The following is a 13725-nucleotide window of genomic DNA, read 5'->3' as shown; positions in this document are numbered from 1 at the left end:
GCAGCAGCTGTGAGTGAAGACCAACAGCAGAGATGGGCTGCAGCAGCTCTCCCTTCCTCCCATAAGGAGTCATCAGGGACCTCTCTGAAGACAGGTGTGTGCCCTGTGGCCAGACAAAAAGGCCTTGGGTGGTGGTTCACAACTGTAATCATAGCACTTCAGGAGGACAAAGTGGGAGCATCACTTGAGCCCAGGAGTCTGAGACTAGCCTGGGCAACATAAGGAGACACTGTCTCTAAAAAAAAAAGTGCGGGCTGGGCACAGTGGCTCACGCCTGTAATCCTGGCACTTTGGGAGGCCAAGGTGGGAGGATTGCCTGAGCTCAGGAATTCGAGACCAGCCTGGGCAATACAGTGAAACCCTGTCTCTACTAAAATACAAAAAACTAGCAACCTCCACCTCCCATGGAGGTGTAGTGGCCAGAACCTGTAATCCCAGCTACTCAGGAGGCTGAGGCAGGAGAATCACTTGAACCAGGGAGGTGGAGGTTGCAGTGAATACAGATCGTGCCACTGTACTCCAGCCAGGGCGACACAGCGAGACTCCATGTCGGAAAAAAAAAATTACATTTTTTACAGTCCCAGATACTCAGAAGGCTGAGGTGGGAGGCTGGCTTGGAACCAGAAGGTCAAGACTTCACACCACTGCACTCCAGCCTGGGTGACAGAGCAAGACCCTGTCTCAAAAAAATTAATTAATTAATTAATTAAAAAAAAAAAAAAGGCCTTAGCCACAAACCCTGGTGGGAAAACAGGACTTTCCTACAGAAAGAAGTTCAGATCTTAACACTGTATCAGTTAACAAACGTCCTTCTGAGGGCAACTGAGAAGCACGGCACCTGCTCTCATGTAACTTTATACTAAACCCTGAGCAGTGCTTCACCAGCCTTCAGCAACCCGACAGACCAGGCCCAGTGAAGGACAGGCGGAGGCTTGCTGGTTACTAAACCCTGAGCAGTGCTTCACCGGCCTTCAGCAACCCGACAGACCAGGCCCAGTGAAGGACAGGCGGAGGCTTGCTGGTGCCACATGCCCCTGTGCACAGACACAAAGCCCCAGCCGCTGTCCAGGGTCAGCCAGCAAAGGACAGGGGTGCAGGAGGGGACACGGGTACACTAGGGGAAACAAAAGATCTGCATTAGGTATGTAATTGATACTTGATGATAAACAGACACAATCAGACAATCAGAACTTACTCACAGAAGCTGAAGCTAAAAACAAAAAGCCAAGATGTTAAGGAAGCTTCCACCTTGCAAGAAAATGGGCTTATTAACCTTCTGTTGGGGAAAGTAAAACTGTGTCTCATCTAAAAAATGAGCTTCCTAACCTTCTGTTGGGCTGGCTACTGGGAAAAGTAAACCTGTGTCTCATCTATGGCCTGAGGGTGGGACTGCCCAGGACATCTACCACACAACGGGTTTTCAACCCAGGCCTCAGAGCTCACAGCTTCTTAAGGGCATCGCAGACCACGTGCACCACTACAGCGGCCTCCTTCCCAGGTAGGTAAACTATAAATTCCTCTCACCAGACCTCTGGCCAGGTAATACTGTACAAAGTGCTTCCACGTGATTTCTCTTCCAGGATCTCGAAAATAGAGGTAGAAAAATCCCATGGCAACGCCTGCCCCCAAAAGGGCCAGACTGCGGAAATCCTCGTCATCCCAGGGGAAGTCCCCCCTGTGGAAAAAAGAAAACACATTTTCCAGTTAAATGAAGGTAGTTTCTTTATGAAAATAGCTATTTCCTTTTTCAGATGTTATTAGGAAAGTTTTGCAACCCCCCCCCACCGACCGTACACAATGTAGCCTCAGTTCCTCTCATGAGGAAAGATCTTTACGTGGTGTATGACACACACTGAAAGCCGCAGCTCAGCAGATGCCTCAGGAGAAGCAGAAAGTCCACAGAGAGCGCTGTGTTTGAGCCACTGTTGCTAGGGTTCTCTCTTATGGGGGTCTGTTAAAATCCAGACAGAGGCCAGGCGTGGTGACTCAGCTCTGTAGTCCCAGCACTAAAGGAGGCCAAGGTGAGAGGACTGCTTGAGCCCAGGAGTTCGAGACCAGCCTGGGCAACGGTGGGTGACCCCATGTCCACAAAAAATTTAAAAAAAAATTAGCCAGGAGTGGTGGTGCAAGCCTGTGGTCTCAGCTGCTCTAGAGGCTGAGGTGGGAGAATCATCTGAGCCTGGGAAGTCAAGGCTACAGTAAGCAGTGATCGTATCACTGCACTCCAGCCTGGATGACACAGTGAGACCCTATCTCAAAAATAATAATAATAATAAAATCCAGATAGAAATCTCAGCACATTTTTATTTTTTTTTAATTTTTTTTTTTTTGGAGACAAGGTCTTACTTGGTCACCCAGGCTGGAGTGCAGTCGCACGATCATGGTTTACTGCAGCCTCAACCTCTCGGGCTCAAGCAATCCTGAGTACCTGGGACCAGAGGTACACACCACCATGCCTGGCTTTTTTTTTTTTTTTTTTTTTTTGTAGAGACAAGGTTTCACTATGTTGCCAAGGCTGGTGTCAAACTCCTAGGCTCAGGCAATCCTCCCACCTCCCAAAGTGCTGGGATTACAGGCATGACCCACTGCACCCGGCCTCAGTACATTTTTAGAAACTAATTTCTTTGAAACTTATGAACTAATTCAACAGTTCACCTTTAAACAAGCAGAAAGATTGATATGGGTTTAAATTTATGTGTTCCCCCAAAATTTCCATGTTGGAACTCAATCCCTAAGGTGAAGGTATTAAGAGATGGGGCCCCTGGGAGGGGATTAGGTCCCAAGGGCTCTGCCTTCCCGAATGGGATTGGTGCCCTCACAATCTGTTGCCCAGGTTGGAGTGCAGTGGTGTGATCACGGCTCACCGCAGCCTCGACTCCCAGCTTCATGCAATCCTCCCGCCTGAGCCTCCTGAGTAACTGGGACTACAGGCACGCACCACCACGCCTGGCTTATTTTTGTATTTTTTGTGGAGACAGCGTTCATGTTGTCCAGGCTATGATCTTGTACCTCCAGCCTCCACAACTGTGAGCAGTAAATGTACCCTGTTTATAAATTACCCAGTCTGATGTATTGTTACAGCAGCAGGCGCAGACTAAGATGCACACAAACCTTCTGCATCCGCCTCCACCAGGCAACGTTATCCTGCTTCCCTCCTCTCCTGCCTCCGTCTCCTCCAGACTCAGCATTCTCTAGTTCACCAGTCTCTGAGAGAAAACAAAGTAAGACTTCACAAAGCAATTACATATGATTTTCCAGAGAAAGAAGATTCAGAAAACAGAAAAACACCTTCCAACACACAATTTTAATAACACCAGTGCCTTCTGGAAATAAAGAGACAACAGGAAAAGGATGAGGCTGGGGAGATATTGCTGAGAAGTAGCTTCAGATACATCTAAAATCCCTAAAATTTCACCTCGCTGGCTTCATATTGAGCTTTAATAGTAAACTTTTTTGGGGTAACAGTCCCAAAACTGGCTGTTATTAGGGGAAAGAAAGAAAGGAAGAAAATGTTAAGACAGACTGGTATGGGTGGTCCCCCTTCTCAAGAGAACCAGGGAACACAAACCACCTGTTCTAAGCAGAGTCTGCCTCTCCTCCAAAAAATCTGGCCTCCTACGTATATTTGTGTCCCACGGACCTACCAGCCTCTTCCTGTAATGTTCCAGGACAAGTTCCAGAACAAGTAAGCCATGACACTGTCCACTTCACAAATACAGTGCTACTCCAACAGCTGCAAAATAACACCATGAAAGGCCAGAGAAGGCCAAGGTGACCCCAGGAATGGCAAACATATTACAAGATGGAGTAAAAATTTGCAAAATTTTAAGGACAAACATGAGTCTTCAAAGAAACATTCCTTGGCCGGGTGCAGTGGCTCATGCCTGTAATCCCAGCCCTTTGGGAGGCCCAGGCGGGCAGATCACGAGGTCAGGATATCGAGACCATCCTGGCTAACACGGTGAAAACCCGTCTCTACTAAAAATACAAAAAAATTACCCGGGCATGGTGGCGGGCGGCTGTAGTCCCAGCTACTCGGGAGGCTGAGGCAGGAGAAGGAGGAGAATGGCGTGAACCCAGGAGGCAGAGCTTGCAGTGAGCCGAGATTGTGCCACTGCACTCCAGCCTGGGTGACAGAGTGAGACTCTGTCTCAAAAAAAAAAAAAAAGAAACATTCCTTTCGTAGCAAGGCAAGTCACCACACCTCCCAATATGACTTACGTGTTTCTTCACCCCATGCTCACCGGTACACAAGCAGGAGACATTTCACAGGGGAAACACAAAATACTGACTTCGCCAATCCCAAAACCCAGTCCACACCATCACACCATGATATAATTTTTAAATGATTTGTCGAGGCTTAGGATCTAAACCGGTTGAGAAGGTGCTGGTGACCTGGGAAGGATGGGTACCGCCCAGGAGCAAGCTCAGGGAAGACGATGTCACCATCACACACTCACAGGCCCACCTGCTTATCAGTTCCCAAGGAGATCAGCCCATTCAGTGAATGCTTTAAAAGTACTCAACTGTAAAACTTCACAGTCTGATTTTTCAAACTGGCCCTTTTACCTTTTTTTGGTGCTGTTGATGTTTCTCAGTTTGTGTTCCTTCCACTCCTCTTAAAGTATTTCTCAAACCCTGAGGGACAAAATGATGAGGTTCTAGTATTTCTTTTTTTTTTTTTTCTTTTTTTTTGAGACAGAGTCTCACTTTGTCACCCAGGCTGGAGTGCAGTGGCACGATCTCGGCTCACTGCAACCTCCGCCTTCCGGGTTCAAGTGACTCTCCTGCCTCAGCCTCCTGAGTAGCTAGGATTACAGGCACCCGCCACTACACCCAGCTAAATTTTGTATTTTTGGTAGAGACGGGGTTTCACCGTGTTGCCCAGCTGGTCTCGAACTCTTGACCTCAGGTGATCTGCCCGCCTCGGCCTCCCAAAGTGCTGGGATTACAGACGGTGGCGCCCAGCCTGGTTCTAATATTTTAGAAGACAGAATCACACCAAGAAAAGCAACCGTACTGTCAAGACGATATAGAGAAAGTGAGAGAGACGCCAGTTTTCCCTCCTCCTGCCTCTCTTCTTGCTTCATACAATCGGCATGAGCCCTCAGGTCCTAACACTGAGGGAAGTGCAGGGAGCACCTTCTACTCTGTGGAGACACAGGGTCTCCAGGGGCTTCAGTGAACACTGTCCCTGGACACAAAGCACAAAGCACAGGTCCATGGCCTACAGAAGGACTCCAAGTGGGCAAGTGTGCTCTGAGGTAATGCCAGTCTGCACATTGTTTCTGTTCTGCTTTCCAAACATGAGGCTTAGCTGGTCCTCAGAGTCAGATACGCAGAAACCAAGGTTTGTTCCCATACCTTCCAAAAGATTCATCTAGCACCTTCCTTTGGAAAGAGCTTTTCTCTCACCAGCTTTAGTGAGATATCAACACCATAAAGACATGGAGAAGGTGCTGGATGTTGTGTGGCTCGATATGGAAGCCAGGAAGGGGTAGGATGGGGCGGGGTGGAGTGGGGTGTGCCCTGAGTTGTCTGGACCCTCGCCCCCTGGTCACTCACTGTAGAAGTCACACTCTGAGGAAGCCACTCAGTTCCTGTAAACCTCATGCTGTTAATGATGGTGGATGAAAGACAGGTACCTTTGGGTGGTTTTGAACACAGCCACCAGGAAAATAACGTCGGTCTTGCCTGCAGAGTCAGCTTCTGAACGTGGATCCCCTGGAAGCACTGGAACAGGAGGCCAGATGAGCTTTCCTAGCTTCTTCTGCAATGCAACACCGCACATTCTCACTGGCCATAACCACTGGAGCAAGCAGGGTGAGGTGTGAGCTTATCGCCTTAAATACCCCATTAGAAATATGATTCAATAGAGTAAACAGGAGCAAGCTCACTGCAGAAATGCACTGCAAATGTTTATAGCTATAGCCTCCAACAGCAAGAAAAAACTCCCCCAAAAAACAAAAAACACGGCTTAGAAACTGAGGCAATTTATTTAGTAACTTGAAATATTGCAGCTTCAAAAACAAGACTGTAAGACTAAAACATAAAATTGTGTAAAATTTAAATACTGAAATACACTATGACTCATCTTTGGTCGACCAAGAGCTTAATTTCTTTTCTTTTTTTTTTTTTTTGAGACAGAGTTTTGCTGTCGCCCAGGATGGAGTGCAGTGGTGTGATCTCGGCTCACTGCAACCTCTGCCTCCTGGGTTCATGCCATTCTCCTGCCTCAGCCTCCCCAGTAGCTGGGACTACAAGCACCCACCATCACGCCCAGCTAATTTTATATTTTTGGTAGAGATGGGGTTTCACCGTGTTGATTAGGCTGGTCTCGAACTCCCAAGCTCAGGTGATCTGCCCGTTCTGGCCTCCCGAAGTGCTGGGATGACAGGCATGAGCCCAGCCTTTTTTTTTTTTTTTCAAGATGGGGTCTCATTGGAGTGCAGTGGCTATTCACAGCAGGGACAACAGACAGGTAATACAGCATCCAGCAAGAGGTAAAAGTTTTTGTCAGGCCAAGAAAACAAATAATTTTTCCAGAAGCTCTGTATTTTCTTCAGTCTTCAAGGAGGAAAACGTCGGCCAGGTGCTGTGGCTCATGCCTGTAATCTCAGCACTTTGGGAGGCCGAGGCGGGAGGATCACTTGAGGTCAGGAGTTCGAGACCAGCCTGGCTAACATGGTGAAACCCCGTCTGTACTAAAAATACAAAAATTAGCCGGGCATGGAGGTGGGCGCCTGTAATCCCAATTACTCGGGAGGCTGAGTCAGGAGAATTGCTTGAACCTGGGAGGCGAAAGTTGTATTGAGCCAAGATCGTGCCACTGCACTCCAGCCTAGCGACAGTAAGACTCTCTCAAAAAAAAAAAAAAAAAAAAAAACCACACACATACACAAATATTAAAAAACAAAATCTAAGCACTCAATAACCCAGTACTAACTGTATCCAACAAAATCCCAACATAACCAGTGAATTTATATTGTCCCCAATATTTTATTTTATTTTTTTGAGACAGAGTCTTGCTCTGTCACCCAGGCCGGAGTACAGTGGCGCCATCTCAGCTCACTGCAACCTCCGCCTCCTGGGTTCAAGCAATTCTCCCTATCTCAGCCTCCCAAGTAGCTGGGATTACAGGTGCACACCACCACACTGGCTAATTTTTGTATTTTTATTAGAGACAGAGTTTCACCATATTGGTCAGGCTGGTCTTGAACTCCTGACCTCAGGTGATCCACCTGTCTCAGCCTCCCAAAGTGCTGGGATGACAGGTGTGAGCCCCCAATATTTTATTATAATGAAACAAGACCCACAGTTGACAACACCTATGTTATTTCAGCTGTGTCAACATTCAGGGGGAGGCTGACTCTGTAGGCTACTACCCCAAAGTAAAATCATTCCCCAATTAGTAACTTTCTAATTAACTACATTATTCAAATATCCCTATAAAAGACCACAGTAGACTAAAAAGTAAGACATACTATGAAAAAATTATTAAAATCATAAAAAAAAAAAAAAGCAGCTCAGAAAGAGAATGCTGACAGTAAAGGCTGTGGGGCTAACAAACGATTCCACATCGTGAACGAAATCGATCTGCAGCAGCCATCCCAGCACCAATGGCACACAGTACCTGACACAGAGCTAGCAATGACTCTCGAAGGATCCCATGAATGTTTCCCCGATGGGGGTTTGGAACCCAAGGTGTGGGTCAACAGGAGACCTACACAAACAACAGAAGGTGGCCATACTGCACGTTGTAGGGTGCCAGGTGCCTCTTACCTCACTTGATCCCCATTGCCCATCTGAGAAAGTAGAACCTGAGAGGTAATGTGAGTGCCTGAAGACAGCTGGTAGCTGAAAGTGTGCAATGAGAATTCTGATGCCCCAATCTTCCAGAGCTTTTCCATGACTACCCCAGGACCACCTCAAAGACAGTGTGGCACTGGTACTGGTGGCTGGGTAGATACCAGGTAGCCTACAGCCCTGAAGGTACAAAGTATGACTCTTCAGGCTTCCAAAACTTGATAAAACATCCAATTCCTTTGCTTTAATTCGCAATTTAGTCCTTTTGTGATTTGGTTAGGAGACAATCTGGTTAAGCCTGATGCAGTTCTCACAGTAAATGTAAACACTAAGATAGGAGTTTACCATTCCTTCTTGGAGTTTTCTGCAAGTCAGTTCACAGCTCACAGTAAATAACCTTGCTAAATTAGTTTTTGTATATGTAAAGCCAAGATGTGAAGGTAGGCAAAACACAAACTCCCTTAAACAGGGCCAAGTGCTGCTGTCCTCTTTCCAGTCAGGCCATAAATGAGTTGACCCTTATTCCGGGTCCCACAGACACACACAGCACACAGGTGCAACGTCAGCAGGCCTATGAGGCCCTGCCCCTCCTTGACCTGTCTATCACTAACCTCTTCCTCATACTGATCACACAGAACTCAAGGCTGGACCCACCCTAGGGCAGTGCATTTTCTATTCCATCTTCCTAGCAAGCTCATCTCAATCCCTCACTTCCTGCAGGGGACACAACAAATAACAGGGTTTATCCCTCCTCCATTCCCTTTCTTCATTTTCTATTTCCTTTATTCTGCTTCCTTTTCCTAACATGCCTAATACTTGCTTATCCATTGTCTGGTTCCTCCTTGCACAGCACGTAAACTCTACGAGAACAAGGACAGAGTAGGTAGCTCAATGAATGAAAGATGACTGCATGGAAGCCTCCACAGCATAAGCTTCCATGAGGAGAGCTGTTAGGGTGTTTTTTGTTTTGTTTCTTTTTTTTTTTTTTTGAGACAGAGTCTCACTCCCAGGCTGGAGTGCAATGGTGCGACCTTGGCTCACTGCCACCTCCGCCTCCCAGGTTCTAAGCGATTCTCCTGCCTCAGCCTCCCAAGTAGCTGGGATTACAGGTGCGTGCCACCACACCGGGCTAATTTTGTATTTTAGTAGAGACGGGGTTTCTCCACATCAGTCAGGCTGGTCTCGAACTCCCCACCTTAGGTGATCTGCCCGCCTCAGCCTCCCAAAGTGCTGGGATTACAGGCGTGAGCCATCGTGCCCAGCCGTCTCTACTAAAAATACAAAATTAGCCGGGAATGGTGGTATGCGCCTGTAATCCCAGCTTCTCGGGAGGCTGAGGCAGGAGAATCGCTTTGAACCTGGGAGCCGGAGGTTGCAGTGAGCCAAGATTGCGCCATTGCACTCCAGCATGGGCAAGAGGGAAACTCCGTCTCAAAAAAAAAAAAAAAATGCAAATTGCTGCCACCTCTCCAACCTCTGCATGTCACCCTCAGTCCACAAGTCATAAAGCTCTCAAAAGAGAGCAAGCCAGTGGGGCAGAGCCCTTGCCTGTCGTGTTCACCAAGATATTCCCTGGTAAATGATTAACAGATCTATCTCTAATAAATGAGAAGCAGATGAATGATCCAGTCCGGGAAGGAACTCAAAGATCATTCAACGTCCGTCCTCCCTTCATAAAGGGGTCTATAGCAGTTCAATGATTCAAAACTCTCCTGGGCTATATTAGGCTGTACACACCGATATTGCATATCGCTGACTTTCAATATGTGTTAGCAACCAGGAGGACCTCTGCAATGCTGATGCCACATGGCCAAAGCTGAAAGACTGCTTTCACTCATATTGCTAGCAACTAAACCATCATACACTTTCCCAAATGAATGGAGATGGCGGGGGGGGGGGGGAGTTCATTCCTGAAGACAGGACAGAAATACTCATGGGATCCTTCTTCTTATTTTACTGCTGTCTGAAAACCATGACAGCTTTCTGGGATCAAAATTCAAAAACTCTGCATTAGAAAAACAATTCAACGTTACTGCTGCTCACTGGGATGTATCAATACAAAAATAAAGCAATCTTAAAATGCAGAATATTCCGGTCTTAGACCCTAACCCTATAAAACAGGGTTATGAGCAGGGCACGGTGGCTCAAGCCTGTAGTCCCAGCTACTCCAGAGGTTGAGAAAGGAGAATCGCTTGTGCCCATGAGTTCGAGATCAGCCTAGACAACACAGCGAGACTCCGGCCCCGCTCCCAAATTTTTAAAAATAATATAATAAATAACAATAGGGTTATAGCGATATCTACCTATAGGGCGGGTATAAGACTTAGATAATCCGCGTAAAGCCCTTAGCTCTCAGCATTAGCTGTTAACGACAGTGACTGGTCGCTGTATAAAGAACAGTTTGCAAAACCCTTTCACGCCTCTTATCGTGTCTGGTTCACTGAGTAACTGCGAGGTGGATAAAGCCGAACGCCGCCGAGCCCAGGAGGACACGGGCTGGCACGCGGGGCCACAAAGCTGGTTCGCGAGGAGGTGGGACTCAAGCGCAAATCGCTCAACGCCCGGCGCTTTACAAAGCCGAGCAAGGAGGCTGGAGGTCCCGGTTCCGATGTCCGAGGGGACCGGGCATCCAGTAAACAGCGGGAATTCCGCAAGAAGTGGGTGGAAGAGGTAGCGAGGAGAAGAGCAGGAGTTTGGAGACGGAGGAGGCGGGGGGGCGGGAAGCTCTGGCCAGGTGCTGTCGGCCTCACTGCGCGGACCAGGTCAGGGCCGCCGCCCTCCCGCGCTCCCCCGCGGCCGGCGCAGGCGAATGGCGTCACGCGGCGTCCAGAGCAGACCAGCCGCCCGGCACCGGCGGAGAGCGCCTCCCCGCTCACCTGTCGGGCCTTGCCCAGGGCCCTCGCGCTGGTCTTGGCCGTCCTGCCGCCTCCTGGGCCACCACATCGCCACAGCAAGGCCAGCGGCCTGGCCACCGCTCTACTGCCGGCCGCCGCCAGCAGCCGGTACCACATCCCCAGACCCAGATCCCGCGCCGCCCGGGCGCGCGCATGCGCAATGGGAGAGCGGTCCTAGGGCCCCGCGAGCGCAGGGAGGACTCGCGCAGGCGCGGCAGGGGCGCGGCGCCGGCTGGGGCCCCGTCTTGGGTGTCCACGCCGTCGCCTGACCGTTCGAGGGTTTGATCGCCAGCGCAGCCTCGCCCTGCCCAGACAGCTGGGCCCTAAGGGGATAGCCAGCGCCTTTAGACTTATCTTAAATCGGGCATCGGCATCAACACTTATTTCTGGGGTCCTCCATGGAAAGCAGCTCCCGAAACAACACCCGCCCGGTCCGCCCTCCGCTGCACTGGAAAACCGCCCCTGGACGTTTCTGCCGCAGTGTCCCCCTCACGGAGTTCCGTTTGTCTGCTTGGTCGGTTGTTCTCTGGAGCCCCAGGACCCAGGCCGCTTGTATGTGCCTGCGGCCGCACGGCCCCAACACGCGGACTTCGAGCGGTACCGGGAGACCCGCGCGGCCTCCTCGGAGTGGACAGTGAAGCAGCAGCTGGGCTAGGCAGTGGGGCTGGGCCTGCCCATGGGGACCCGTCCACGTCTCCAGGACATCAGCCTGAGCCTCTTCGCAGCCTCGTTTTCTGTTGACCGAGTTCTGCAAGGGGACGTAGAGGAACCACAGCGTTCTTGCGCTTGAGACCGCTGTGATTTTCTGACATTTTGGAGGCAGAAATGCCTGGGGAAAGGCCCACAGATGCAACTGTCATCCCTAGTGCCAAAAGGGAACGGAAAGCGATTACCCTTGACCTCAAATTGGAAGTGTTACGACGATTTGAAGCGGGTGAGAAGCTCAGTCAGATCGCAAAGGCCTTAGATCTTGCTATCTCTACAGTGGCGACCATTCGAGATAGTAAAGAAAAAATCAAAGCGAGTTCACAAATAGCTACTCCTCTGAGAGCCTCTCGGTTGACTCGCCATCGAAGTGCAGTGATGGAGAGCATGGAGCAGCTGCTGAGCTTGTGGCTGGAAGACCAGAGCCAGCCAAATGCGACCTTGAGCGCCGCCATCGTTCAGGAGAAGGCTGAGTTTGATGACTTACAGCGTGAACATGGCGAAGGTTCTCAAACGGAGAGGTTTCATGCAAGTCAAGGGTGGCTTGTGAGATTCAAGGAGTGCCACTGTTTGCCCCACTTCAAGATGAACAGCGCAGCTCCCAGCAACAAGGACATGTACACAGAAATGCTGAAAAGCATCATCGAAGAAGGTGAGTACACCCCCCAGGTGTCTTTAACGTAGATGAGACGAGACTTGATTGGAAGAGAATGCCCAAAGGAACGTTTATTTCCGAGGAAGAGAATGCTGAGCCAGGGTTTAAGTCATCCAAAGATCGCTTGATGCTGCTGCTTGGTGGCAGTGCAGCTGGGGACTTTAAGTTGAAGCCCTTACTGGTGTACCGCTCAGAAACCCGCAAGGCTCTGAAGGGTTCTTGAAGCCCAGTTTGCCCGTGATTTGGCGCTCCAACAGAAAGGCTTGGGTGACCAGGAGCATCTTTCATGAATGGTTCACTTACTTTTTTTGCCGTTGAAAAATACAGTGCCCAAAATAATCTCACCAACAAAGCACTGCTCATACTAGACAGTGCGTCATGCCACTCTGTAAATTTGAGCGACCTTTCTGATAACTAAGAGTAGAATACCTTCAGGCCAGGCGCGGTGGCTCACGCCTGTAATCCCAGCACTTTGGGAGGCCGAGACGGGCGGATCACCTGAGGTCAGGAGTTCGAGACCAGCCTCAACATGGAGAAACCCCGTCTCTATTAAAAATACAAATTTAGCCGGGCGTGGTGGTGCAGGCCTGTAATCCCAGCTACTCGGGAGGCTAAAGCAGGAGAATTGCTTGAACCTGGGAGGCGGAGGTTGTGGTGAGCCGAGATCGCGCCATTGCACTCCATCCTGGACAACAGGAGTGAAACTCCGTCTCAAAAAAAAAAAAGAAAAAAAAGAAGTACAAGAGTATAATACCTTCATGACAGTACAGCTGACTCAATCCGGACCACGTGTCAAGGTGTAATCTCGACCTTGAAAGCTCATTATCTGAGAAGGACTTTTCAGCACATCCTAGAAGCAGCGGATGGTGAGGACACAGCTATGATCAGGGAATTTTGGAGAAACTACAGCATCATGGATGCTGTGGACATGGCCATCGCATGGGAGGAGCTCAAACCAGCACTAATGAACAGCATGTGGAAGAAGATTTGGCCTGAGTGTGTTCAGGCCCAGCGTTTTTCCCAGGCAGATAACATTGCACAGCTTCAAAAAAACATTGTGACCCTTGCCAGAAATGTGGCCTTTGAAGAGGTTGCTGAGGCTGCTGTGGACCAGTTGCTGCAGTCCCATGAAGAAGATCTCTCAAATGAGGAACTGATGCGGCTGGAACAGGAGCTGGCAGTGGGGGAGGAGGAGAGGGAAGATGGTCCCTGGGCACTGTGGCAGCTAACCACAGGAAGACTGTCGGCAGCCCTCTCACATTTTGAGGCTGGCTTGTAGGTCCTTGCTAGTAACAGCCCTAATGATGACTGGAAACTGAGAGGTTCCAGAGAAATCAGTGTTGCAGTAAACTGCTAGCAGGAGCTGTACAATGAGAAAAAGCGCCACTCAAAACAACTCTCTTAGGTCATTTTTCAATGTGTGTAACCAAAAGTTAATCAGAATAAAGCGGAAGCACCATGATGACCTCAACAGTGGAGGCCCAGCCAGGCCTCCCTGCTCTGTGGTGTTGGACATCCCTGGAAACCTTGCTGTTGGTATTTCCATTTTGATACTTGAGAGCATCAAATTTTGTCATTAAAATGTTATTTAAATATATGCTTTTAAAAGCTCATATATGTGTAAGAATCGCCAGGAAAACTTTTTTTCTTTGAGACGGTCTCGCT

The 13725-nt window shown here is 49.2% G+C and overlaps 2 pseudogenes across 4 annotated transcripts in view, besides 4 other annotated features; one reads left to right on the top strand and one right to left on the bottom strand.

Annotated features, from left to right (window-relative positions):
* The window catches only part of AFG3L1P (AFG3 like matrix AAA peptidase subunit 1, pseudogene), a 28208-nt pseudogene extending 17340 nt beyond the window's left edge, over nt 1-10868 (bottom strand). Inside the window, exons 1-5 of one of the 3 annotated variants that reach the window (NR_003228.1) lie at nt 10683-10868; nt 5646-5809; nt 4570-4638; nt 3112-3206; nt 1525-1675 (exon numbers count right to left, since the gene is read on the bottom strand). The product of NR_003228.1 is annotated as an AFG3 like matrix AAA peptidase subunit 1, pseudogene, transcript variant 3 (transcript). Of the gene's footprint in view, nt 1-1524; nt 1676-3111; nt 3207-4569; nt 4639-5645; nt 5844-10682 lie in introns of all 3 variants that reach the window. The other 2 variants (NR_003226.1, NR_003227.1) reach the window with 2 other exon arrangements.
* Nucleotides 9837-10820: an enhancer, noted in NCBI's record as "H3K27ac-H3K4me1 hESC enhancer chr16:90039036-90040019 (GRCh37/hg19 assembly coordinates)". NCBI's record gives its function as "activates a minimal SCP1, AML or CMV promoter by ChIP-STARR-seq in naive H9 embryonic stem cells {active_cell/tissue: H9 hESC(naive)}" and the evidence as "EXISTENCE:reporter gene assay evidence [ECO:0000049][PMID:30033119]".
* Nucleotides 9837-10990: a biological region, named in NCBI's record as "H3K27ac-H3K4me1 hESC enhancer GRCh37_chr16:90039036-90040019".
* Nucleotides 10511-10990: a silencer, noted in NCBI's record as "silent region_7935". NCBI's record gives its function as "represses an Ori minimal core promoter by ATAC-STARR-seq in GM12878 lymphoblastoid cells {active_cell/tissue: GM12878}" and the evidence as "EXISTENCE:reporter gene assay evidence [ECO:0000049][PMID:35858748]".
* CENPBD1P (CENPB DNA-binding domain containing 1, pseudogene) lies at nt 10952-13673 on the top strand (annotated as a pseudogene). Its single transcript, NR_172519.1, has one exon. The product of NR_172519.1 is annotated as a CENPB DNA-binding domain containing 1, pseudogene (transcript).
* Nucleotides 11131-11190: an enhancer, noted in NCBI's record as "active region_11431". NCBI's record gives its function as "activates an Ori minimal core promoter by ATAC-STARR-seq in GM12878 lymphoblastoid cells {active_cell/tissue: GM12878}" and the evidence as "EXISTENCE:reporter gene assay evidence [ECO:0000049][PMID:35858748]".
* Nucleotides 13674-13725: the final 52 nt, after the last annotated feature.

This window comes from Homo sapiens, chromosome 16 (assembly GCF_000001405.40).
Source record: "Homo sapiens chromosome 16, GRCh38.p14 Primary Assembly".
Classification (NCBI taxonomy): domain Eukaryota; kingdom Metazoa; phylum Chordata; class Mammalia; order Primates; family Hominidae; genus Homo; species Homo sapiens.
The sequence above is the reverse complement of the archived record's forward strand: the minus strand, read 5'-3'. Positions and strand labels throughout refer to the sequence as shown.